At 39.9% G+C, this 27,826-nt stretch overlaps 1 protein-coding gene across 4 annotated transcripts in view; it reads right to left on the reverse strand.

Annotated features, from left to right (window-relative positions):
* Positions 1-27,826, reverse strand: part of SPARCL1 (SPARC like 1) — a 56,042-nt gene that overhangs the window by 8,706 nt on the left and 19,510 nt on the right. The window contains exons 2-9 of one of the 4 annotated variants that reach the window (NM_001291976.2): positions 17,481-17,545; positions 15,091-15,199; positions 12,941-13,087; positions 11,542-12,558; positions 9,578-9,650; positions 8,720-8,838; positions 8,233-8,353; positions 384-520 (exon numbers count right to left, since the gene is read on the reverse strand). In NM_001291976.2, coding sequence (NP_001278905.1) covers positions 384-520; positions 8,233-8,353; positions 8,720-8,838; positions 9,578-9,650; positions 11,542-12,384 — 1,293 coding nt within the window. In that variant the 5' untranslated portion in view covers positions 12,385-12,558; positions 12,941-13,087; positions 15,091-15,199; positions 17,481-17,545. Of the gene's footprint in view, positions 1-383; positions 521-8,232; positions 8,354-8,719; positions 8,839-9,577; positions 9,651-11,541; positions 12,559-12,940; positions 13,088-15,090; positions 15,200-17,480; positions 17,546-22,781; positions 22,884-27,826 lie in introns of all 4 variants that reach the window. The other 3 variants (NM_001128310.3, NM_004684.6, NM_001291977.2) reach the window with 3 other exon arrangements.

A 27,826-nucleotide genomic window follows, 5' to 3' on the forward strand; every position in this document is an offset into this window, starting at 1 on the left:
ATGGATTTACTTTATATCATACATCTATGTCTGGCCTATGAGAACAAAACAAATGCTTAGATTTAAATAAGATGTTTGGACTGACTAGATCAATGCTAAATTTATATTAACTTTGCTCAACCAGAGCTTGCTCTAGGTAGGAATTGAAGAGCCCTAATTCAGGCCACTGACCATTGGGAAGAATGGGGCGGTTTGGTGGTGTCTGAAACCTTGTGGCGTGAATGGTGACATCTATTATTCTGTTAAGCCACATGGGCTAACCGGGCATGGGGAAGCATAGTGGGCTTTTGCCAGTATGCAGAGGTAGGTAGCCCCCCCACCACGTCTTTCTTCCTCATGCCCTGTAGACAGACATTGAAGAAGCTAACCTGTGGATAACTTACTTTATTTCTCTGCTTCTCATTTAGATAACCAGCGTGTTCAGAGTTGGCTTCATAAAGCTGCATGAGGATATTCTTGAGCCAGTCTCTCATCCGTAGAGGAAACTGAATCACTTCAAAGTCCGTACAAGTAGGAATAGCTGTTACAAGCAGAAAATGTACTGTAATCTTTGGGCTTATTTGTGTCCTATGGCAAGTCCTCATAATAGGAAGCTTAACGACTTCTGGCAACTGACAGAGCTTTCTCAGGTCCCCATTATTATGACAGTGGTCCTCAGCCCTGGCAGCAGCACAACAAAATTGCCTGGGGTTTTAAAAAACATACCAAATGCCAGCTTCCAATCAAGTAAATTCTGATGTGATTGGTCTGGCGTGAAGTCTGGGCATCAGGATGTTTTTAAAGCTCCAAGATCTATTTGGATGTGCAGCTAGGCCCCAGAATCACTGCTGTAGAATCAGAGTTGAAATTTGTAGGTGGAGGGCACAAGTGCTATTGAATAGAGAAAAAGGTAGCTATTAGCTGATACTACAGTAAGAAATAATGCTAAATCTCAGTGGCTTAAAGAAACAGAAGTCAATTTTGCAATCCTGCTACAAGTCCAATACAAGTTGGCAGGAGGGCTCTGCTCATTGCAGTCTCCCCAGAGCTCAGGATCACTGCCGTTTTTTTTTTTTTTTAATTATACTTTAAGTTCTGAGATACATGTGCAGAATGTGCAGGTTTGTTACATAGGTATACACATGCCATAGTGGTTTGCTGCACCCATCAACCCATCATCTACATTAGGTATTTCTCCTAATGCTATCCCTCTCCTAGTCCCCCAGCCCCTGACAGGCCCTGGTATATGATGTTCCCCTCCCTGTGTCCATGTGTTTTCACTGTTCAACTCCCACTTATGAGTGAGAACATGCAGTGTTTGGTTTTCTGTTCCTGTGTTAGTTTGCTGAGAATGATGGTTTCCAGCTTCATCCATGTCTCTGCAAAGGACATGAACTTATCCTTTTTTATGGCTGCATAGTATTCCATGGTGTATATGTGTCATATTTTCTTTATCCAGTCTATCACTGATGGGCATTTTGGTTGGTTCCAAGTCTTTACTATTGTGAACAGTGCTGTAATAAACATATGTGTGAATGCATCTTTATAGTAGAATGATTTGTAACCCTTTGGGTATATACCCAGTAATGGGATTGCTGTATCAAATGGTATTTGTAGTTCTAGATCCTTGAGGAATTGCCACACTGTCTTCCACAATGATTGAACTAATTTACTCCCACCAACAATATGAAAGCGTTCCTATTTCTTCACATCCTCTCCAGTATCTGTTGTTTCCTGACTTTTTAATGATCGCCATTCTAACTGGTGAGAGATGGTATCTCATTGTGGTTTTGATTTGCATTTCTCTAATGACGAGTGATTATGAGCTTTTTTTCATATGTTTTTTGGCTGCATAAATGTCTTCTTTTTGAGAAGTGTCTGTTCATATCCTTCACCCACTTTTTGATGGGGTTGTTTTTTTCTTGTAAATTTGTATCTGTTCCTTGTAGATTCTGGGTATAAGCCCTTAGTTAGATTGACAGATTGCAAAAATTTTCTCCCATTCTGTAGGTTGCCTGTTTACTCTGATGATAGTTTCTTTTGCTGTGCAGAAGCTCTTTAGTTTAATTAGATCCCATTAATCAATTTTGGCTTTTGTTGCCATTGCTTTTGGTGTTTTAGTCATGAAGCCTTTGCCCATGCCTATGTCCTGAATGGTATTGCCTAAGTTTTCTTCTAGGGTTTTTATGGTTTTAGGTCTTATGTTTAAGTCTTTAATCCATCTTGAGTTAATTTTTGTATGAAGTGTAAGGAAGGGATCCAGTTTCAGTTTTCTGCATATGGCTAGCCAGTTTTCCCAGCACCATTTATTAAATAAGGAATCCTTTCCCCATTGCTTATTTTTGTCAGGTTTGTCAAATATCAGATGGCTGTATATGTGTGGCATTATTTCTGAGCCATCTGCTCTGTTCCATTGGTCTATATATCTGTTTTGATACCAGTACAATGCTGTTTTAGTTACTGTAGCCTTGTAGTATAGTTTGAAGTTAGTTAGCGTGATGCCTCCAGCTTTGTTGTTTTTGCTTAGGATTGTCTTGGATATATGGGCTCTTTTTTGGTTCCCAACTTTAAAGTAGTTTTTTTCTAATTCTGTGAAGAAAGTCAGTGGTAGCTTGATGGGGATAGGATTGAATCTATAAATTACTTTGGGCAGTACAACCATTTTCACGATATTGATTCTTCCTATCCATGAGCATTTGTTTGTGTCCTCTCTTATTTCCTTCAGCAATGGTTTGTAGTTCTCCTTGAAGAGGTCCTTCACATCCATTGTAAGTTGTATTCCTAGGTATTTTATTCTCTTTGTAGCAATTGCAAATGGGCATTCACTTATGATTTGGCTCTCTGCTTGTCTGTTATTGGTATATAGGAATGCTTGTGATTTTCGTACATTGATTTTGTATCCTGAGACTTTGCTGAAGTTGCTTATCAGCTTAAGGAGATTTTGGACTGAGATGATGGGGTTTTCTAAATATGCAATCATGTCATCTGCAAACAGGGACAATTTGACTTCCTGTCTTCCTATTTGAATACGCTTTATTTCTTTCTCTTGCCTGACTGCCCTGGCCAGAACTTCCAATACTATGTTGAATAGGAGTGGTGAGAGAGGGCATCCTTGTCTTGTGCTGGTTTTCAAAGGGAATGTTTCCAGCTTCTGCCCATTCAGTATGATATTTGCTATGGGTTTGTCATAAATAGCTGTTATTATTTTGAGATATGTTCCATCAATACCTAGTTTATTGAGAGTTTTTAGCATGAAGGGATACTGAATTTTGTTGAAGACCTTTTCTGCATCTATTGAGATAATCATGTGGTTTTTGTCATTAGTTCTGTTTATGTGATGGCTTACACGCATTGATTTGCGTATGTTGAACCATCCTTGCATCCCAGGGATGAAGGTGACTTGATTGTGGTAGATAAGCTTTTTGATGTGCTCCTGGATTTGGTTTGCCAGTATTTTATTGAGGATTTTCGCATCCATGTTCATCAGTGATATTGGCCTGAATTTTTTTTTTTTTTTGTATATCCTTCAGGTTTTGGTATCAGGATGATGCTGGCCTCATAAAATGAGCTAGGGAGGAGTCCCTCTTTTTCTATTGTTTGGAATACTTTCTGAAGGAATAGTACCAGCTCCTCTTTGTACCTCTGGTAGAATTCAGCTGTGAATCTGTCTGGTCCCCAGCTTTTTTTGGTTGGTAGGCTATTAATTACTGCCTCAATTTCAGAACTTGTTATTGGTCTATTCAGGGATTCAACTTCTTCCTGATTTAGTCTTGGGAGGGTATATGTGTCCAGGAATTTATCTATTTCTTCTAGATTTTCTAGTTTATTTGTATAGAGGTGTTTATAGTATTCTCTGATGGTAGTTTGTATTTCTGTGGGATCAGTGGTGATATCCCCTTTATCATTTTTTATTGTATCTATTTGATTCTTCTCTCTTTCCTTCTCTATTAGTCTGGCTAGCTGTCTATCTATTTTGTTAATCTTTTAAAAAAACCAGCTCCTAGGTTCATTGATTTTTTGAAGGGTTTTTCGTGTCTCTATCTCCTTCAGTTATGCTCTGATCTTAGTTATTTCTTGTCTTCTGCTAGCTTTTGAATGTGTTTGCTCTTGCTTCTCTAGTTCTTTTAATTGTGGTGCTAGGGTGTCAATTTTAGATCTTTCCTGCTTTCTCTTATGGGCATTTGGTGGTATATATTTCCCTCTAAACAGTGTTTTAGCTGTGTCCCAGAGATTCTGGCCCATTTTGTCTTCATTCTCATTGGTTTCAAAGAACTTCCTTATTTCTGCCTTAATTTCGTTATTTACCCAGTAGTCATTCAGGAGCAGGTTGTTCAGTTTCCATGTATTTGTGCAGTTTTGAGTGAGTTTCTTAATCCTGAGTTCTAATTTGATTGCAGTGTGGTCTGAGAGACTGTTATGATTTCCATTCTTTCACATCTGCTGAGGAGTTTTTACTTTCAATTATTTGGTGAATTTTAGAATAAGTACAATGTGGTGCTGAGAAGAATGTATATTCTGTCAATTTGGGGTGGAGAGTTCTGTAGATGTCTATTAGGTCTGCTTGGTCCAGAGCTGAGTTCAAGTCCTGAATATACTTGTTAATTTCTGTCTTGTTGATCTGTCTAATTTTGACAGTGGGGTTTTAAAGTCTCCCACTATTATTGTGTGGGAGTCTAAGTCTCTTTGTAGGTCTCTAAGAACTTGCTTTATATATCTGGGTGCTCCTATATTGGGTGCATATATGTTTAGGATAGTTAGCTCTTCTTGTTGCATTTATCTCTTTACCATTATGTGATGCCCTTCTTTGTGTTTTTTGATCTTTGTTGGTTTAAAGCCTGTTTTATCTGAGGCTAGTATTGCAATTCCTGCTTTTTTTTTTTTTTTTTTTTTTTTTTTTTTTTTTTTTTTTTGCTTTCCAATTCTTGGTAAATAGTCCTCCATCCCTTTATTTTGAGCCTATGTATGTTTTTGCATGTGAGCTGGGTCTCCTGAATACAGTATGCTGATGGGTCTTGACTTTTTATCCAATTTGCCAGTCTGTGTCTTTTAATTGGGGCATTTAGCCCGTTTACATTTAAAATTAATATTGTTATGTGTGAATTTGATCCTGTCATTATGATGCTAGCTGGTTATTTTGCCTATTAGTTGATGCAGTTTCTTCATAGTGTCGATGGTCTTTACAATTTGGTATGTTTTTGCAGTGACTGGTACTGGTTTTTCCTTTCCACATTTAGTGCTTCCTTCAGAAGCTCTTGTAAAGCAGGCCTGGTGGTGAAAAAATCTCTCAGCATTTGCTTATCTGTAAAATATTTTATTTCTCCTTCACTTATGAAGCTTAGTTTGACTGGTTATGAAATTCTAGTTTGAAAATTCTTTTCTTTAAGCATGTTGAATATTGGCCCCCACTCTTTTCTTGCTTGTAGGGTTTCTGCAGAGAGTCCCACTGTTAGTCTGATGGGCTTCCCTTTGTGGGTATTCCGACCTTTCTGTCTGGCTGCCCTTAACATTTTTTCCTTCATTTCAACCTTGGTGAATCTGACAATTATGTGTCTTGGAGTTGCTCTTCGTGAGGATTATCTTTGTGGTGTTCTCCGTATTTGCTGAATTTCAGTGTTGGTCTGTCTTGCTAGGTTGAGGAAGTTCTCCTGGATAATATCCTGAAGAGTGTTTTCCAACTTGGTTCCATTCTCCTCATTACTTCCAGGTACACCAATCAGATGTAGGTTTGGTCTTTTCACAGAGTCTCACATTTCTTGGAGGCTTTGTTTATTCCTTTTCATTCTTTTTTCTCTAATCTTGTCTTCATGCTTTATTTCATTAAGTTGATCTTCAATCTCTGATATCCTTTCTTCCACTTAATCGATTTGGATATTGATACTTGTGTATGCTTCACGAAGTTCTCGTGCTGTGTTTTTCAGCTCCATCAGGTCATTTATGTTCTTCTCTAAACTGGTTATTCTGGTTAGCAATTCCTCTAACCTTTTTTCAAGGTTCTTAGCTTCCTTGTATTGGGTTATAACATGTTCCTTTAACTCAGAAGAGTTTGTTATTACCCATGTTCTGAAGCCTACTTCTGTCACTTCCTCAAACTCATTCTCCATCCACTTTTGTTCCCTTGCTGGCAAGGAGTTGTGATCCTTTGGAGGAGAAGAGGCATTCCCATTTTTGGAATTTTCAGGCTTTTTGTGTTGGTTTTTCCTCATCTTCATGGATTTTCTGCCTTTGGTCTTTGATGTTAGTGGCCTTTGGATGGGGTTTTTGTGTGGATATCTTTTTTGTTGATGTTGATGCTATTCCTTTCTGTTCATTAGTTTTCCTTCTAAGAGGCCCCTCTGCTGCAGGTCTGCTGGAGTTCACTCAAGGTCCATTCTAGACCTTGTTTGCCTGGGTGTCACCAGCAGAGGCTTCAGAACAGCAAACATTGCTGCCTGTTCCTTCCTCTGGAAGCTTCGTCCCAGAGGGGTACCTGCTAGATGCCAGCCAGAGCTCTCCTGTATGAGATGTCTGTCGACCCCTGCTGGGAGGTTTCTCCCAGTCAGGAGGCATGGGGGTCAGGGACCCACTTGAGGAGGCAGTCTGTTCCTTAGCAGAGCTTGAGTGCTGTGCTGGGAGATCTGCTGCTCTCTTCAGAGCTGGCAGGCAGGAACATTTAAGTCTGCTCTGCCCACAGCCGCCCCTTCCCCCAGGTGCTCTGTCCCAAGGAGATGGGAGCTTTATCTATAAACCCCTGACTGGGGCTGCTGCCTTACTTTCAGAGATGCCTTTCCCAGAGAGGAAGAATCTAGAGAGGCAGTCTAGCTACAGTGGCTTTCTGGTGCTGCCGTGGGCTCCACCCAGTCCGAACTTCCTAGCAGCTTTGTTTACACTGTGAAGGGAAAACCGCCAACTCAAGCCTCAGTAATGGTGGATGCCCCTCCCCCCCACCAAACTCAAGCATCCCAGGTCAACTTCAGACTGCTGTGCTGGCAGCAAGAATTTCAAGCCAGTGGATCTTAGCTTGCTGGGCTCTGTGGGGGTGGGATCCACTGAGCTAGACCATTTGGCTCACTGGCTTCAGCCACATTTCCAGGGAAGTGAACAGTTCTGTCTTGCTGGCATTCCAGGTGCCACTGGGATATGGAAAAAAACTCCTGTAGCTAGCTCGGTGTCTGCCCAAATGGTGGCCCAGTTTTGTGCTTGAAACCCAGGGTCCTGGTGGTGTAGGCACCCGAAGGAATCTCCTGGTCTGTGGATTGCGAAGACTGTGGGAAAAGCGTAGTATCTGGGCCAGAATGCACTGTCTTTCGCAGCACAGTCCCTCACAGCTTCCCTTCGCTAGGGGAGAGAGTTTCCCGATCCCTTGCAGTTACTGGGTGAGGCAACACCCCACCCTACTTTGGCTCCCCCTCTGTGAGCTGCACCCACTGTCTAACCAGTCCCAATGAGCTGGGTACCTCAGCTGGAAATGCAGAAATCACCCTCTTTCTGCGTTGATCTCACTGGGAGCTGCAAACCAGAGTGGTCCTTATTTGGCCATCTTGCCAGCCACCAATGACGTTGCCATTTTTTGAGGCCACTATCTCAAAGAGAGTTTGTGGTGGCAAAGGAGCAGAGGATGGAGAACCATACCCCAGCTCTTGAATGCTTCTGCCCAGAACTCACATAGATGACTTTTTTCACATTTCCCTGGACAAAGCAAGATATATGGTCATACCTAACGTCCAGGAGGCTGACATGTTTCATCCTCTCCTGTGTCTGGAAGGGGAGGAGACCCGGAAACATTAGTGAGCACTGCTAATGTGGAGAATCACTTAGTGGTAAGGGGAGCCAAACACAATTGAGAATATCCTGGGGAAGGAAGACAGCCTTAAAACACTTCTGGAAAAATGTGTTGTCAGAGACTTCTTGGCAAAGGCTTAACTTAAATTGGGAAGAGGGCAAATAATGTAGCAAAATTCCAGTGATTCAACTCTGTGATTAAGTGGATAGCATTATCATAGTGGTTCTGAGCCCTGGCTGCACATTAGAATTGTCTAGGTTACTTCAAAAACAAATAAAAAAAACAATGTCAGGATTCCAACCTAGTTCAGTTAAATCAGAATCTCCTACGGTTAAGGCCTGAGAGTTCTTATTTTTTAAGTTTCTCCAGTTGATAATTTTTGTGTTCAGAACTACATCAGCTTTTCCCTGTTTGCATATAGATAATTCAGGCATGTCCAGATTCACCCCAAGCCCTCTCAGAGATGATGGTTGACAGGAGGGACATAATCTTACATTTGCAGGCTCCAAAATAATCCAGCTGGAGTTGATGCCCCTTTTTGGTCCCCTCCAGTCTGCATTTAGTAGCGAATAGATGACAGGAACTAGCATAGGTCTGATTGTCAGTGCCACAAACCTATGGAAGATAAGTAGAAGAAAAAGCTGATAGAGCCAAATGCTCACTGGAAGACACTCTGCTCCTTAAAGCTCATATGCTGATAACAGCGCTGTGCCAAAGATGTGGTCAGGTAGGTGAGACTATTAAAATCGTAATTGTTCCATTTGGCATCAAAAAAATCAACTAAACTGTACCAACGGTGATGACAATTTAGCTCTAGATAAGCTCAGTAGAATGAAAACTGCAGATGTTCCAAATATCCCAAATAACCAAATGATAACCTAGGTATCTACCTTTTTTAAGCAAAAATTTCAATGGCAAATATTTTTATTTCAGTCACTAACCTTTTGGAGCCACTTAAAGACTATTTTGCAGAATACTTACTTGATCAAGGGGTTTTGTTGGAGGACAAGTCACTGGATCCTGGCAGACACAGTGAGGTTTTCCCTGTTGGTCTGCCTTACAGATGTGGCCTCTTTTACACTGGAAGCTCATGCAAGAATCTAACAGAAAAGATTGGGCAGGAAGCATGGACAAAGTTAAATTGAGTATGTAAATACAAATTCACTCAACTAGTTTCATTTTCACTAATGAAGGGGAAATTTTGAAGTCCTTGAAATTTGCAAATTTGGAAGTGGGAAGACATTGGAATCCTCTTTAATTGATGTGTTAATGTCAGATGGAACCTTCTATTTTACATGATAATTTTACTGATTATTTTACATGATAATCTAGATTTCCTCTTGCAGCAGTTTGGATTGGAGATGTGCAAAGAACAGACAGCTCTTCTATGCCTGAGATGGTCATAGTCTGAAGTCCTTAGTGCAACGTTGTGCAAGCTGGTCAGAAGTGAAATAAGGCTGAAATTCAAAATGTTTGTGATAGGGGGAGGAATAAGGTCCTTTATCAAGTATGGGATATAAATTCATCAGCAAGTTACAGATTTGAGAATAAATAAGATAGAATTAAGTCTTTTCAGAAGCAAAAGGATTTAAGGAAGAACTCTAGCCCTTTCACTAATATCTCAACAGGGCTTCCAGTTTGCAAACACATTTACCCATTGTTGTATATCAAGTATGCACAAGAAAATGTCAACAATTTATGGGAGCATTTCCTTGGGGAGGACTGGGGAGAGAAAAAATTCTGTGCAGCATTCACAAAGGATGGAGGGACAAGCCCAAAGTGGCAGATTCCATTTCTTCCTTGATATAGTCACAAACAGCTTGCTTCATGCATACTCACCCACAGCATGCACCCTCATGTTGCCTTCACTTGACGTTTCCTCCTCATTTGATGAGTTCTCTGCTTTCTTGGCCTTTAGAATAACAAGAGCAAAAGTTAAAATCTACTAAGAGGAGAGCCATTACTTAATTTATATTTCCACTGTGCATACTTTCACGAGTATTTTTCATGCTCAAATCATTTCAAATCTCAGAAAGGGAAACCAGGCTGGGTGTGGTGGCTCACATGTGTAATCCCAGCACTTTGGGAGGCCAAGGTGGGAGGATCACTTGAGCCCAGGAGTTTAAGACCAACCTGGGCAACATAGGGAAACTCCATCTCTACCCACCCCCCCCCCCAAAAAAAAAAAAATTAGCTGGGCATGATGGTGCATGCCTGTGGTCCCGGTTACTCAGGAAGCTAAGGTGGGAGGACTGCTAGAGCCCAGGAGGTTGAGGTTGCAGTAAGCTGTGATTGCATCACTACACTCCAGCCTAGGAGACAGAGCAAGACTCCATCTCTAAAAACAAAACAAAACAGAAAAAAAAGAAGAAATGGAGCCTGTAATCCCAGCACTTTGGGAGGCTGAGGTGGGTGGATCACCTGAGGTCAGGAATTCGAGACCAGCCTGACCAACAAGGTGAAACCCTGTCTCTACTAAAAATACAAAAATTAGCTGGGCATGGTGGCAGGCGCCTATAGTCCCACCTACTTGAGTGGCTGAGACAGGAGAATTGCTTGAACCTGGGAGGCAGAGGTTGCAGTGAGCCGAGATTGCGCCACTGCACTCCAACCTGGGTGAAGGAGTGAGACTCCGTCTCAAAAAAAAAAAAAAAAGAAAAAAGAAAGGGAAATCAGTCACAACTGTGGAGGTAGACAGTAACCCTTGGAGAACAGGACCCATTTCTATCTTTATCAGTGAGATTTAGTGCGTTATCTCTGGGGATTACTCAATAAGACTTGGAGTCTCCTCTTTGGATTTGAGAAAACACTAGAAATGTAGTATTATCTTGTGATTTTGTAGTTAAGCCAGAGTTACATTGGAAATCTCTCTGAATTTGTTGGTAAAGCTTTCATACCAGGCTTTTAAGGTATAAGAAAACTCCTACGTTAGAGTGGCAGCAGAGTTCTCAGTAACTGAGGTTACCATTGACCTTGTGTACCAAAATCTGTGCCAAGTCCTGCTGGCACAGGACTTTGTGGCTGCCAGGATTTTGAATGAAAGCTCCAAATATGCTTCCTCCCTGCCCCGATCCTGCTGTAGTTTCCAGATTATCATTTTGGTATGTGTTTGCTTAATAAAGTAGGACCTTAATCTTTATAACTAATTCAACAAACATTGTTGGCTCTTTTGTTATGTCAGAGACATTTTGTTGGACACTGGTGATTCAACTCGAAAACAATATGGCATCTGCTTTCAAGGCATTAGAGCAGCAGTTGCCAGTATCTCCTATCCTTCAGATCTGTCATAATTTATCATTCCAGCTAGTTCCAGGGACTTTCAATGGCCAATATCTGCATTTCCGTGCCTGAAAAATCATGGAAATTGACCTGGCTCACTCAAGGGACAGGCTGGAAATGCTGGGAAATTAATACCCCTCTAGCAATCCTCAGCCAAAAGAAGTACCCTAGCTCCTTCAGTCGCCAAATGGAATACTTCTGAGAAAATGTCTTTACATGGCTTGAATGATGTTCCTTTTATTAGCTTCCTTTCCTTCTTGTGTTACTTCTGCACTCCTCTTTGTTCCCTGTGCTTCTTAAATAAACAACACTCAAATCCAAGATCTGCATCTACGGGAACTCAAATAAAACAGGCATTCTCAGCCTAATGATAGAGATAGACCTAAAAAGAAATAACTGTAATATATTTTAGTAATGTACTAGTAGACATCCATACAGGACACTGTGAGAGCACAGAGAAAGGTCATGACTGTTTATTGATAATGCTGGCTTTATTGGACAAGGACCATTTAAAATAATTTTACCTCTTGGTGCTCTCCAGGCTCAGTGGTACCTATATTTTCATTTTCATGTACTTTTTCTCTTTGCTCCTCAATTTTGAGGTGATAGGCAATGGATTGAGCTCTCTCGGCCTCCAGAAAGGCCTGGCTTGGGATGAAGTAGTCATCACTTGCACTGTGCCTGGGGCCATCAGTGCCGCCATCATCGCCATCATCATCGCCATCATCATCAACTCCATGATTTCTGGGCGTGGTATTACCATCATCAGTAGGTTCCATGAGCAGAGCCTCAGAAACAGTCTTTTCTTCTGTCTCTTTGTGGTTGCTGATAGCTTCTAGGCCAGTTTTACCCTCTTGACTCTGCCATTCAGTTTCTTGAATGTGCTTATTGACGTTCGATGCATTTTCCTCTTCCATTTCTGCATTGGAGTTATCTTCTTGTTCTTGGTTACCCTGATCAAATTCATCCTCCTGCATCTTGCTTACTTGAGTTGGTTGATCAGACTCTTCCAAAATATCATCAGATTGGGTATTGTCTTCCTCCTGCTTGCTGTTAGCATGCTCCCTGGGCAATTCTGTCTTTCTTTCTTGGTTATCATTGTGGGTACCAACTTCACCTGGCTCTTTTTCTTCTTCCTCTTCTCCATTGGAAATATTTGGATCCTGCTCTTGGTTTCCTTGATCCCTTAGGCCTTGGCTATGTTTACTGCTCCTGTTCAACTGATGATGTGAATAATTTCTAGGTTGTTCTTGGTTTTCCTCTCTCTTTGTGATACTTTCTTGTTGGTTAGAATCTGTGAAGGAACTAACACCAGGAGCCAAAAAATCAGTGTTCTCTGAGAGTTTTTTCTCCTGAGGCTCACTCATATCTTCTTTTATGTCCAATGTACCTTCAGTTGGTGCATACTCCAAATTCACACTTAAGTGACCATCACTGTCCTCTTGATCCTTCAATCCCAGCTCTTGGCTAGAACTCTTGCCCTGTTCTGCTGACTGTTCATGGCTTTCCTCTTTTGACTTTAGTACTGATGATTTTTCAGCCTTAAAAGAAAAAAAAGTTCATTCTTCAAACAAATGATAATGTAACCATATTTATGCCTAAGGTAACATTTAATATTCATTATTCTTTTTCTTCACACACTATCATGTAAACATGTTTATAATATTCCTCACACTCTGTAGCCACAGGTTTAAACTGAATTTGGATTTTATAAAATGAAACAAGTATACAGCAGCTCAGCCCAAGTAGTAAAACTCATTAATCCTCATCATTCTTCTAGTGATTGGAGGCAGTTGAGGTGATCATCATGTTTTAAAAAAATTAAACTGAGACATAAATAACATAATCTCTTTTACCATGCTTTGAAACTAAGACCTTTGGAGAATTAAAAAATTGTATTAATATAAATGATGTTACTTTTACCTTATGGTGGGAATCGTCTTCTGTGGATACTGCTGTTTCTTTTTCATTTTCTTCAGCTTCAGCCCTTAAACTGGGGATTGCAGTGTTGTCAGGTGCTACCGTTTCAGCAGTTGGTTTGGAATGATCAGATAATAATCTTGCATTTGTCTGAAAAAATTAAAAACTGGTTTTTGTTATTCATGTCTGGATGCTAATTTACAAATTTGCTAGTTACTCTTGTTGTCATCATTATTAGTAGCAATATACTTCATTTATACCAACAATTTAAAAATATTCTCTAGAGTTTTTGAGGATATAAGCAGATGCCTAGAACAGAATGTTAAGTGGAAGCAGAATCTCAATTGTGTTTAAGAAAAAGTTATTTATGCAGAGACTGGGTGAAAATAAAACAAAATGCATTTAAATAATGGTAACTTTGAGTTTTGAAATTATTTTCTGTGTTTTTTAAACTTTTGCAAAGCATTTGTACTTTACAATTTTGGAAAGTGTTGTTTAGCAGAAAGTTGAAGTCAAATAAAATTAACCATAGGATATAGTATTGTACATTTGCCTAATTTAAGTACCCACCGATAATTAGCAGAAAAATTTATAAACTTTTTATCAATATTTATTTGATTTCTTAACGCCATTGGCCTTAACGTTGGTCAGGAAATCTTAATGGGGCTGGGCATGGTGGCTCACGCCTGTAATCCCAGGTCTTTGGGATGCCGAGGTGGGTGGATCACCTGAGGTCAAGGGCAGGAGTTCAAGACTAGCCTGGACAACATGGTGAAACCCCGTCTCTACTAAAAATACAAAAAATTAGCTGGGTGTGGTGGTGGGTGCCTGTAATCGCAGCTACTCGGGAGGCTGAGGCAGGAGAATCACTTGAACCCTGGAGGCGGAGGTTGCAGTGAGCTGAGATTGTGCCATTGCACTCCAGCCTGGTCAACAAGAGTGAAACTCCATCTCAAAAACAAAAAAAATTAGAATTAATTCAGACTGTGTGAGACAGGGCACTAAGCCTAAGTAGAAAAGGGCATGTCTGGAGTATTAATTTCTATTAGAGGGATGGTCCTATTTCTAGCAAGATTGGAGACTTGGATAAAGAGCTGGGCAGTGATGCATGATGGGGAAGTTGAACAACTGAACTTGGAGGTAAGAGGCCTCCATTCAAGTCTTGCCTCTGCTATTTACTTTCTATCTGTGGTTTGACAGGTCGTTAATATTTTTTATTAATTAAAAAACATTAATAAAATTAATTCATTATATTAATTTTTAATTAATTAACTCCAGCCTCTTGCCCAGGGTGGAGTTCAGTGATGAAGTCTCGGCTCACTGCAACCTCTGCCTCCCAGGCTCAAGCCACCCTTCCACTTCAGCCTCCCCAGTAACTGGGACTATAGGCACCACCATGCCTGGGTAATTTTTGTATTTTTTGTAGAGATGGAGTTTCACCATGTTGCCCAGTCTGGCCTCGAACTTCTGAACTCAAGCAATCTTCCTGTCTTGGCCTCCCAAAGTGCTGGGATTACAGGTGTGAGCCACCATGACCGGCCAAGGTCATTAATTTCTACCCTGCCATCTCTCAAGGTGGCAAGAAATATCAAGTGAGCAGAAATATCAAAATAAGATTATGTATAAAAAATATGTTATAAATTTTAAGGAGTTGCCCAACTGAAAATTACTATTTCTAGTACTAATGTCACACTGTGTCAATAATATAAACTGCCCAGTATCTGAGGCAGATATTCACCATGGATCTTTATTAGAGAGATACTCTGGACACTCAGATGGCCTATCCAGGTGTAAGTATGAAACTGAGATTCTATTTGGATTAACTTATTTTTATTCCATTAGCAGGTCCTGTAGTGCTGACTGTGTAATAGTCATGGAGTACAGGATTTATTTTTTATTTTTAAACTTTTTTTTGAGACAGAGTCTCACTCTGTTGCCCAGGCTGAAATACAGTGGTGATCTTGGCTCACTGTAACCTCCACCTGCTGGGTTCAAGCAATTCTCATGCCTCAGCCTCCTGAGTAGCTGGGATTGCAGGTGCCTGCCACCATGCCCTGCTAATTTTTGTATTTATTTATTTTTCTAGTAGAGACAGGATTTCACCATGTTGGCCAGGCTGGTCTCAAACTCCTGGCCTCAAGTGATCTGCCCACCTTGGCCTCCCAAAGTGCTGGGATTACAGATGTGAGCCACGGCTTCTGGCCAAAGTACAGGATTCATATTAGGTTTGGTTTGCTCCTTTGCTTCTTATCTCCTTTTCACCTAAGATGGGTAATGAATTTGAAAAAGTTTATAAAGAAGCCTTAAAGAAGGGGGAAAAGGAGAAAGAATGGTGGCCACTTTGGTAAGCTGCCAGCAGGGGGCATCATAGAAGGCAATGGATGGGGGAGATTTTAGGCTTATTAGTGGAGAACTGGTCACTCTCTCTCCCCCTCCATCCGCCTACTGCCCAAGCAGGAAGAAATGCACACAAAAAATGGCAGCTCTTTTACTTTCAGAAATATTCTGCAATTGAAATTATGTTTTATCACTATGGGCATATTTCTATTTATTTAACTCTGGAAATCTATTTGGAATCTCCCAACTACACAGAATCCATTTTCATCTGGAGAATTCAGGCAGGCAGGGAAAATTATACAAATTTTTAATAGGTCATTTCTATGAGAAGATACTTAGCTTTCTAGCAGTTTGGCTAGGTTTACATGATATCAAATTGTCCCAGAAAGGAAACATCTGGAATGTGTCTAAATGCAAGTGTGTCATTCAAACATTTGGTTCAAACACTTTTTTTGTTTTTTGAGGCAGTCTTGCTCTGTCACCCAGGCTGGAGTGCTGTGTGCGATCTTGGCTCACTGCAGCCTCAACTACCCTGGCTTAAGGGATCCTCCCTCCTGTGCCTCCCAAGTAGCTGGGACTACAGGCACATGCCATGGCAGCTGGCTAATTTTTTATTTATTTTTTTGTAGAGACGTGGCCTCACTATGTTACCCAGGCCGGTCTTGAACTCTTGGGCTCAAGCGATCCTCTGGCCTTGACCTCCCAAAGTGCTGGGATTATAGGTAGGAGCCACTGTGCGTGGCCCAAAGACACTTTTTAATGTTTATTTACATAACAGCAACAGCCACAAGGACAAAGCACATTTTCAGGAGAAAACAACGGTTTTGTGGGAACTCCTTTCAGTGTTGAACATTAACTTGTCCCGCTTTTGTGATTTCAGGGTGTAATGTATAATTTCAGCTAGAGTAGCTCCATACTACTTAAGCATGATTCCTGATGGTGGGTATAAACTCTGTCTTCCAAGAACAGCTTGGTCTGGGTGCCATGGAGTTTGTTTTTGCTGACACATTTGTCAACCAGAAGCTAGCTAACAACTTATCCAAAAAGCAAGGACAGAATTTTAGACCTAGAGAAGAAGGGAGGAAAGGGACGATTGAGAAATTGTTTTGTCTCTTTAAAGGAGGCTGATTCCTCCATTTGGTGAAAAAGAAAAAAAATATGGCACGAATCCTTTGGTTTAATGAAGGATTACATGAATCATTTGCAGAACATCTCCAGTGGTCATTCATGCTATGGTTTCATTTGTTTTTTAACTTTCAGTTTGTTTTGAGGCCACTGACACGGTTTCAAATGATCTGATTTGTGTACAGCTGCTTTATTGCTGTGCAAATGGGGCCAATATATCTGACCATGAAGAAGAGAATATTCTAGCCCTGCCTACTTTCAGCATACTTGCTTGGACAGCCTCCCAAGGGTGAATTAGGAGCTGATTTATGATTACCATATCGTTTCCTGCCTAAACCATTGGTTTCTGTTTTCATTATAGACTCTCAAAATTTCTCAGCCAGCATCTATTTGATCTTGAAGAAAATGCTGCTGGAGACCGTGGATATGCACCCTAAGTATTTTTTTTTTTTCAGACGGAGTCTCACTCTGTTGCCCAGGCTGGAGTGCAGTGGAGTGATCTCAGCTCACTGCAATCTCTGCCTCCTGGGTTCAATTGATTCTCCTTGCCTCAGCCTCCCGAGTAGCTGGGATTACAGGTGCCCGCCACCATGCCCGGCTAATTTTTGTATTTTTTAGTAGAGACGGGGTTTTGCCATGTTGGCCAGGCTGGTCTTGAGCTCCTGACCTCAGGTGATCCGCCCATCTCAGCCTCCCGAAGTGCTGGGATTACAGGCGTGAGCCACCGCACCTGGCCTAAAATCTTGGGTTTATAATAACAATGTGATGAGCTTCCCTGGGAGAATTTATTTCTTCCTGTCTCTTGTGTATTTGGGCTGATTCTATGGCTAATAAACTGATAGCCCAAACTTTCTGCTGCATATTTATTGTGTCCTGTAGAACCTGATAGTTCTAAAATTTTTTTTTAAGTACCTTATCTTGAGTTTTCCAGTTATTTGTTTGTTACTTGGGCAATAAAGAATATAATTAAAATAAAAAGAGAATTTCAAACCATTATATAAGAACATTTTCTTTTAAATGGAGGATTTCTGCATTAAATGTCAGGAGAAAGAGATGTAATAACAGAAGAAAGGAAATTTACCGGGATTGCAGCTGCAGTTCCCAAGAGACATAGGAAAAAAAGCCCAGTCTTCATGCTTTCCAGATCTGTGAACCAAGAAGATAATTATCAGTGGCAGGGAAAAGTTTCCTCATGAAAAACTGAAAGATAGTCTTAGCAAATACTGAGCTTGATATTGTCCTTGGCATATAAAAGTGATTTCTATCTTTGTGGATTAATATGTCTGAAAAGACAGATTGATGGCAGTTCTTACTCGATTGTGTACCTGTGAAAATTGCTCCCTGATTTTTCGGTCCGGCCATGTTCGGCAGAACCTATCTCTGTTTATGACAGTACTTCTTCGAGTAAAGACTCTGTGCAGATCTCAGGTCTTAAGATTCATGAGTATTCATAATGAAAAAAAAAAGTCATATGTCAAGGTTGAGTAAAAACACGCTGCCTGTTTAGTGGTAAAGAAACACATTCATTCAGTGAAGATTTTTAGTCATGCAGCACTGCACTGCCACAGAGTAATAGACCTAGAGGGTATTAATGTTCATCTGATTTAGAGGTCTTTACTGGCAATCTGTGAGTTAGGGGTGGCCTGCAGATAGGTTTGGTTTGGTAGGCACTGTGCATTTTAAACTAGTATTTTAAATTCCAGAGGTTTCATGTCAAAATCCAAATTTCCAGTTTCTCTTGAACCATCTGACCTCTTAGCAACAACAGGTCTTCATGACAGCAGTTGGCTGCATCTGAGTTGAGACTGTCCTCTGTAAGGGATGCTGGCGTTTGTGCTTGATCTGTCTCACTTTTGGTATTTGCCTTTCATTTGAGTTTAGTTAGTTCCGAACGAACTCTTTAAGTTTAGAAACGAGACAAGTGAGGCTCAGAGAGGTTAAGTAAGTTGTCTCCAGATGAACTCTGGGTCTAAGGCTTTTCCCACACACCAGTTATATTATTGTGGTTCTTGAAAGTAGTGGGCAGCCTACATTTTTTTGCAGGATATCCCTAAGTCTGGTAGTCTGACCTGTAACTGGGATTAGGGCTGCAGCTTTTAGTATTTAATAGAGGTTTTATGGATCGCCCAGAAATACTAGATGACTCCTTTAAATTATTTTTTGCAAACATAAACACATTCACAGAGTTTTAAGTAAGACTTTGAGGTTTATAAAGAAACTGAGCAGTTTCTTCTGCTACTTATTCCAATATTTCTAAACAATGTGCTTAAATGGATATTTTAAAATATATTAAATATTACTCTAGGGATTTAATATTGCAACAACTATCACTTCACACACACGTACGCGCGCACGCACATACGCGCGCACGCACACACTTCTCTTCCTCCTTTCTCTTCCTAAAATAATTTTATCATAATTCTTGTTTAAATTTTTATTTAACATTCATGACAATGTAAATATTCTTCACAGCTGAACCAAGTAGTCATTTCATGTGTTGAACCACACTGACATTTATTTTCTTGAACGATATTTTGCTTTGGTTTTGATTTAAAAATTGCCTTCCTTTTAAAGCTTTTTACGTACTTTTTTGTGCACCCATCACTTATTCTTCCTGAATTTTCCAACAAAATTTAAAATTTCCTCTTAATATGGTAACAACAATAACAACAACAGAGCTACATCAACAACCCCGTAAGGAAATCCCTCGTGTCCATTTCGCCCCTTGGAAGTGGCACTCCCAGAGCCTCGGAGTTCTTGCTTCCTTTGGACTGGTGTATCTCCGGCTGCTGGGCAGCTTTTCTCCTGGGGTCCATACCTGGGGTCACCACGCCCTGGTAATCCCCTTTGTCTTTTTTCTTCTGTTTGATTTCTTGCTTCCTAAGTCCCATATATTTTTCTTTCTTAGTTTTCTCCCTCATTTTGATGAAGCACATACTCCATAAGTTTCTTGAGAAACCACACACAGGAGACAGAATTTTTAAGGTATTGCATATTAGAAAAATATCTGTATTTTACCCTTTACTTGATACATAGTTTGAATAGATATAGAATTCTAGATTGGAGTATTTTTTTCTCAGAATTTTTTTTAAAACATTGGTCTATTTTCTTATAATTTCCAGTGTTGCTAGTAAGAACTCTGATGTGAGTTTTTCCCCAATGTTTTTATGAACATAGTATTTTTTTCTTCTTTATGGATGCTTTTATGTTTTTACATTTGGCCCTAGTCTTCTGAAATATTACCATCTCTGCCTTAGTTTGGATACTTTTACATTTAGTTTAGGAACTCATTAGGCCCTTTGAATTTGGAAATTTATATATTTCAGTTCTGGGGAGCATTTTATGTGTTAGTTCCTTAATGATTTTTGCCCTTCTATTTTTTGTCTTTTCTTTCTAGAATTTATATTAGTTAAATATCAGAATTCTGGGGTTGATTCTCCGATTTGCTAATCATTTTTGCTCTTCTCTTCAACAGTGTGTCTATCATTCTGGGAAACTTTCTCACTTTTACCTTACATCTCTCCTATTGATTTTTTTTTTTTTCCTGGAGATAGGGTTTCGCCATGATACCCAGGCTGGTATCAAACTCCTGAGCTCAAAGTGATCTGCCTGCCTCAGCCCCCTAAAGTGCTAGGATTACAGGGATGAGCCACTGTGCCTGGCCTGTTTTATTGATTAAAAAAAATTATACCTTTATACTTCATTTTCTTTTTTAATTTTATTTTTAAATTGACAAATAACAATTATACATATTCATGGGGTACATAGTGATGCTTCACTACATATAATGTATAGTGATCAGATAAGGATAATTTGCATATCCATCACCTCAAACAGTTATTATTTCTTTGTATTGGGAACAGTGTCTTCTTTCTAGCTATTTGAAATATATAATATCCTACAGTGGTATAGAGCACTAGAACTTATTCTTCCTATTAGCTATAGTTTTACGTCCTTTAACAAATAGCTCCCTATTCCTTTCTTCTCCTCACCCTTCCCAGCCTCAAGTATCCTCTGTTCTACTTCTTACTTCTATGAGATCAACTTTTTCGCTTCCATATGAGTGAGAATATGCTTATATACTGTTAATTTTTTATTTCCCGAAGGCTTCTTTTTAATATTGTCCTGTTCTTTATTAGTGTGACATATGTTCTTGTCTCCTTGAGGATATTAATCAAATATTTTGAAAATTTCCTCTGCACCCTGCAGTTTCTGTTTCCTTCTTGTTCCTTTTTTCCCCAGTTAGTTTGTTTTGATCTTTGTTTTTCCTGTTGAAAGCTTTTCTCTAATGTCTGATGTATTTGGCTGTCCATTAATACTTTGCAGTGAGTCACTAGAAAGCCAATTAGAACTTTATGGACAGGGCTTGGAGGGCTTCCAAAGAATAGTTCCATGGAGCATTGGAGGGCTTCCAAGGAGCAGTAACCTGACAGTCTTGATGGGGCACCCCAAATGTCATTGACAGATATTACAGGGAGATTTTCTTTTCTCTAGAGGAGAAATTCATACCTCTTACCTTGAGAAGCAAATATAAACCTGGTTGCTAGCATTCTGTGAAATCAGTGAAGAGACTGGAGTTCTCTCAGTGCACACACTGATTTTTCACTTAGTCCCTAGGTTTCTGTATGGCTCCACCTCCCACCTGACATTGTGTTTATTCTGAGTGCAGAGCCAGAGAATAAGCTTTTTCCTGTTTGTGTTGAAACATGGAAGTCCCCTGGCTGTGCAGGCAGGAGGAAGGATCTTGAATCTAAGAGTTAATCTGATAGGCTTTCAACCAATACTCCAGATTTCAGCCTCTATCCTCACCCTGCCTTCCAAATCACCTGGTGCCTCCAATTCTGGAAACTTGCATGGGTTCTTCAGTGTGAATGGCTTCCTTCTTTGTCTATGGCATCCTTCTCTGCAGACTCTTAGGTTTAAGCTTTCCCTGTTCTAAGTCAGTCTTCCATCTTCTAAAGATGTGTTGACACTTGTCTTCTTTGTCTCCTCTTCTTTTATCTCAGTCACTGTGAGTCTATATTATTACTATTCTTTTCCTATCATTATTCTGGAATTTTAGCAGGGAGTGGCAACATATGTATATGTTTCATCTCCATTTCACAACAGATGACTTCCATTTCATATTTTCTTCATATTTTCCTCTGTCATTATCATCATCATTTTTAGTGTGACACATAGGAATTCCTGTGGGTCTTTGTGGGTCTTTGGTTCTAACTCAGCAAATGAAGTTTTTTTTTTTCCTTTTTTTTTTTTTAATACAGAGTCTTGCTCTGTTGCCCAGGCTGGAGTGCAATGGCGCAATCTTGGTTCACTATAACCTCTGCCTCCTAGGCTCAAGTGATTCTCATGCCTCAGCCTCCCAAGTAGCTGGAATAACAGACATGTGCCACCATGCCTGGCTAATTTTTGTATTTTTAGTAGAGACAGGGGTTTCGCCATGTTGCCCAGGCTGGTCTCGAACTCCTGGCCTCAACTGGTCCACCTGCCTCGGCCTCTCAAACTAGCAGCAAATGAAGTTTTTATTGAAGAAAACAGGGCTATAGCATAGACTTCCTCATCATATTGGGAACAAGAACACATTTTTACCTATCTCACTATTCAAATCCAGGTGGTCCAGGGTGGGCCACCTGGACCAGGGAACAGTCAGTTGGAAGAATAGAGAGTAAAGCTGCACATAGAAAGTGATTTGGTATTGTGTGTGTGTGTGTGTGTGTGTGTGTGTGTGTGTGTGTGTGTGTGTGGTGGGGTGGGGGTGGGAGGGTTGAATCAGGGGTGTGGGGAGAAACTTAAATCATTTATAACCTTACTAGTCTGGACTAATCAATTCCCAGTTTTAATGAAAAGGACATGTACTTGGAGACTCAAGTATAATTCTTCTAAGTGATCCTTCTGAAAATGACTACATATAACAAGGAGAAATTTAGAATATTAACAATGGAATGGGTGTTTACTTTATTTAGAACGGGTAATGGCATATAAAATATACTTGACATTTCTATTGCCATAGTGCTTTGGGTTTACCAAATAAATTTACAAATGGGATATTACCTTATTTGATCTTTACAACAACCCCAGGATGTGGCAGATGAAGAACAGGCCTAGAAAGCCTACAGTGTGACATGCTGGAGATCACTGAGCTCTGTAGAAGGGGAGCTGGGATTGAAGCTAGATTTCCTGGCTCCCACTCCAGCTTTTTTCTAGTTATTTTGCAAATTCTCCATTTTACCTCTTACACAAAGGTGTAAGGAAGGGGGACAAAAACTAAAAAAATCCCAAAACAAACAAAAAAACCACCATTGTGACAAATTGAGATTTCACTTTGAGTTTGAGTTTTTAAACAAAAAGTTCCAAACATTTTAAGGAGTAAGATGGTACGTACTTGGCAAAATGCACTTCTTTGTGTTGAAGGAAAAGGCTTATCTTAGAAGGTTGGTTGGATTACTTGATATTGAAAGTTTCTTTCAATAAAACATCTTATGGCCTAAACAAGGCAAAAAGCATAGGAATTCAATTTTCCATGAAAGAAAAATGTATTTAAGTAAAAACATGGAGCAACCTCCCCCCGCTGCCCCAAAACTCTAATACATTGAAAAACACCTTAAAACAAGAAAAGCATTAAACTGTCAGGAGAGCTGGATTCTGGCTCTAGCAGTGTCCCTGACTGCCAGGAGACCTTGGGAAAGTCACTTGCCCTTTCTTAGATACAGTTTTCTCAAGTGATGAACAATGAAGAGTGAGACCTAGATGATCCTCTAACCCTAATATTTTAGGATTCTAAAATTGAAAATAATTCCATTAATTGTATGAATCCTAAATTGCTGCTATCTTTTCCCCTTAAACTACTAAACCCACTAAAATATATTCCATGATTTTTATTGTATTAAAATAAAATATTTTATATATGGTAATTCATGCTTAAAGTAAATATGTGGACTCTATTAGCGATGATAATTTAAAACATTCTATCCTCCTAGTGAATGCTAATTGTAAAGAATCATTGAAAAACGCAGTTTCTTTCCTCTACATTTTAAATTCAATGTTTACTTATTTATTCATTTATTCCACAAATATTTATTAGAGTTATGGAACTATAGTCACTTATATTTTATTTTATTTATTTATTTTTATTTTTGAGACAGGGTCTTGCTCTGTTGCTCAGGCTGGAGTGTAATTGCAATCATAGCTCACTGCAGCCTCCAGTTCCTGGGCTCAGGTGATCCTCCTGCCTCAGACTCTCAAGTAGCTGGGGATATAGGTGCAAACTATTATGCTCAGCTAATTGTTTTTTTTTTTTTTTGTAGAGATGGGGTCTTTCCATGTTGCCCAGGCTGGTCTCAAACTTCTGGCTTCAAGCATTCCTCCTACCTCAGCCTCCTAAAGTACTGGGATTACAGGGATGAGCCACTGTGCCTAGCCTTATATTTTAGATCAGTATGTTATTACTATTCTACTGGTTTTGAAAACTATAGAAATACAAAATAGTATGGTTTAGTGAAGGGTTTCTTTATCTTGGCACTGTTAACATTTTGGCTTGATGATTCTTTGTTGTGGGGGGCTGTCCTGTGCCTTGTAGGATGCTTAGCAGCATTCCTGTCCTCTGCCCATTAGATGTCAGTAGCGAGCCCCCATCCCCCACCAGCTAGGGACAAACAAAAATGTCTCCAGACATTGCCAAATGTTCCATGGGGGGCAAAATCGCCCTGATTGAGAACCATTGGTTTAGCGGAAGCAGACTGGTGCTTTCAGATTAGAGAGACATGCATTTGAACTCTGGAGCAACATTTGCCATCTATATGATCTTTGGCAAGTTACTTAGCCCTCTAAGCCTCAGATTCCCCATCTAAAAATGGGGATAACATCTGTGATGGTTAATTTTATATGTCAACTTGACTAGACCATGGGATGCCCAGATATCTACTTAGACATTATTCCTGGGTGTGTCTCTGAGGGTGTGTTCTGAAGAAATTAACATTTGAATTGGTAGACAGAATAAAGCAGATTGCTCTACCCAATGTGAGTGGGCATAATTCAATCCACTGGGGACCTGAATAGAACAAAAAGGCAGGGGAAGGGAGAATTCCCTCTCTCTCTCTGCCTATCTGTTTGAGTTGGGACATTGATATTCTGCTGTTGGATTGGGACTTAACACCATCAGCCCTCCAATTCTTAGGCCTTCAGACTTGGACTAGAACTCAACATCATTGGTTCTCAGGTCTTCAGACTTGAACGGGAACTATACAATTGGCTCTCTTGGCTTTCCAATTTGCTGACTGCAGATCTTGGGACTGGCTCCATTAATGTAAACTAAGTCCTCATTATCTATATCTCTATCTATCTATCATCTATCTATCTATCTATCTATCTATCTATCTATCTATCTATCTACCTACCTACCTACCTACCTATCTCCTATTTGTTCTGTTTCTCTGGAGAACCTTGACTAATAAAACATCTAATTCAGTTTTGTGAGAGTTAGAAGAAATGGTACTGGTAAAAATGCCTGATACCTAGGAGATGCTCAATAAATTTTAATTCTTTTTTCTCTCATCTTCCTGATAAGTTAAGTTGTGATTCTTGAATAAACAACTTAGATTCTCAGAAAATAATGTAATTTAAGTTTTGCTGTGAGGTCAGAAAAATTGTCCAGTGGAACATTAAAGTCCATTCTGGCCACACATTTAGGCTCCTTTTAATGCCAGGAGTATTTCCGACATTCATCACACATAACAGTGGAATTAGGCACATGGAATGCTACCCTATTTTCTTACAAATGGTACAACTTAAAAGGGGAGTAAGAATTATCAAACGTGTTTTGCATCATAAGGCTCATTTCTTTTTGTTTGTTGCAGCAACATGCATAACTAATTAAATTTGAGAAAATATTTCCCTTTTAATCTGTCCGCATGATCTCACATGATCTCACAAGTTCCCTTCATTTCCCTAAATCTAAATGTAGCTGAATGAATCAAAAGGAAAGAATGTCCAGTTGGCCAGAACTTGCATCACTAATCCATTTTTTTTAAATTCATTCATTGAGTACTTACTAGACACTGCCTAAGCACAAGGACACATAGTTTCTCTCTTAAGAGTTTCTGGGTGTGGAAAATCTCTAACTGCTTTTCCTGTGGTCTCACACCACGCTACAATCAACACAGAAGACTTCTGTGACCAAATGTGGGAGATTTTTTGTCATCAACATGCAAGCAATCAACTCTGCAGCAGGCACCAGCTGAGTGTCCTCCAAATGAATTCTGACACTGTGTACCTGGAGATAGCGTCAGATCCCATAGGTTGAGGGCTCAGTCTCACAAGACATCTTCCCTTTCCCAGATACCAGTCACAAGATCAGGCCTCCAGAACTTCTGGCTGACTGGTTTCAAGTTGGGCTTCCATGACTCCCTCTTGGGGTTCGATTAATTTGCTAGAGTGCATCACAGAACTCAGGGAAACACCTACTTAGATTTACTGGTTTATAATAAAGGATATTACAAAAAGATACAAGTGAAGAGATGCAAAGGGTGAGGTATGGGGGAAGGGGCACAGAGCTGCCAAGCCCTCCCCGGAACACACCCTCTAGGAACCTCCATAGGTTCAGTTATCTTGTAATTTCTTCAAACCTCGTCCCCTTGGGCCTTTTATGGAGACTTCATGAAAGGATAGGCACCATTGACAACCACATAGAAATGTGTTTAGACAAAAAGGGTATGCTTTAGTACTCAAAGGCTGAGTGGGGAAACCCGGTAAGGCCCATCTGTTCAGATTCTTTTTGGCCTCTTTTTTTTTTCCTTTGAGGTGGGTCTCACTCTGACTGTGAGGCTGGAGTGCAGTGGCGTGATTTTGACCTCCTGGGCCCAAGCATGCTCCCACCTCAACCTCCCAAGTAGTTGAGGTTACAGGTGATTGCCACCACACTTGGGTAATTAATTTTTTTTTTTTCTGTAGAGACAGGATCTTCCTATGTTGCCCAGGATGGTCTTGAACTCCTGGGCTCAAACGATTGTCCCATCTTGGCCTCCAAAAGTGCTGAGATTACAGACATGGATCACTGTGCTGGGCCTCTTCTTGGCCTCTCCATGCAACATTCCTTCCTCCAGAATATGGGGCAGAACCCCTTCTGAAATGGGGGTCTTATGACCTACAATCACACAAGGTAGGTAAAGGCAGAGGAAGATTAGAGTCCTGCCTTGGGGAGAAAAAGTAGCAGGTAAAAAAATAGAAGATTAGAGAGAGAGAAATCCTGTTATTCTGAGGTCCGCTTATGAGGCCTAAAATGCACCAACATTATAACATTATAAAAAGGTCTATGGGAATTATGAGACAGGAACCGTGGATGAAACATATGTGTGTGTGTGTGTGTGTGTGTGTGTGTGTGTATAGATACATATATGTATGTAATGTAGATACGTATATAGATAAATATATACATATATAGATACATGTATATAAGTATATATATATATATATAGTATACATATGTGTATATACTATGTATGTGCACCTGGAGATAGTGTCAGATCCCACAGGTTGAGGGCTAAATGTATACTATATGTGTACATATATAATCTATATACTTATATACATGTATCTATATATGTATTATATACACGTATCTATATATGTATATACTAATAATGTATCTATAAATATATAATATATTTATATAAAATCATATAGTGTAATGTGATGATTATGTACATAATGCAATGGAAAGAGAGATAGGAGGCATTTTTAAATTAGGTAGTTGATAATAGCTAACTTTACTACATCCAAAGTACTTAAGTTCTAGGCACTATTCTAAGAGCTTTGCACACACATATTCTTTAAACCTTCTGAACAGTTCTATCAGGTAAGCACATTATTGTAATCATTTCACTAGTAAGGAAACTCGGGCATAAAGATTAAGTAACTTGTTCAGGGTTACACAGCTAGGAAGTGGCACAGCAGATATTTAACACTTCTGTTTGATATCAGGTCTGTCTGTGTTCTTAACTACAGTGTTCTTAACTACTGTATAGAGATGACCTCCAGAGAAGGTAATTCTTGATCTGAGGTTTGAAAACTAATAAACAGTAGTTAGCTGTATGAAGGATGTTCTCACACAGCTAGATGTACTCTAGAGGGTGGCAGGCAGCAGCATGGGTGAAGTTGCAGAAGCATCGAGTCTCTAGGATGTTAATATTTGGGTCTCTAGGCTGTCAATAGGGGAAGTGGGCTGGGGTAGATAAGGCTCAAAAGTAAGCAGATAGCCATATTGTAAAAGTCATAGTGCATTAAACAAGGAATTAAAAATTCCAGCCATAGAGCTATAGGGACCCAAAGAATTATTGTAAGTGTCTGTGTGTGCACGCATGTGTGTATGTCTGTGTGTGTGCACACATGTGTGGACAGGGGTGATGATATAACCAGATTTGTATGTGTGACAGC

The sequence above is a fragment of the Homo sapiens genome, chromosome 4, assembly GCF_000001405.40.
Source record: "Homo sapiens chromosome 4, GRCh38.p14 Primary Assembly".
NCBI classification, from domain to species: Eukaryota; Metazoa; Chordata; class Mammalia; order Primates; family Hominidae; genus Homo; species Homo sapiens.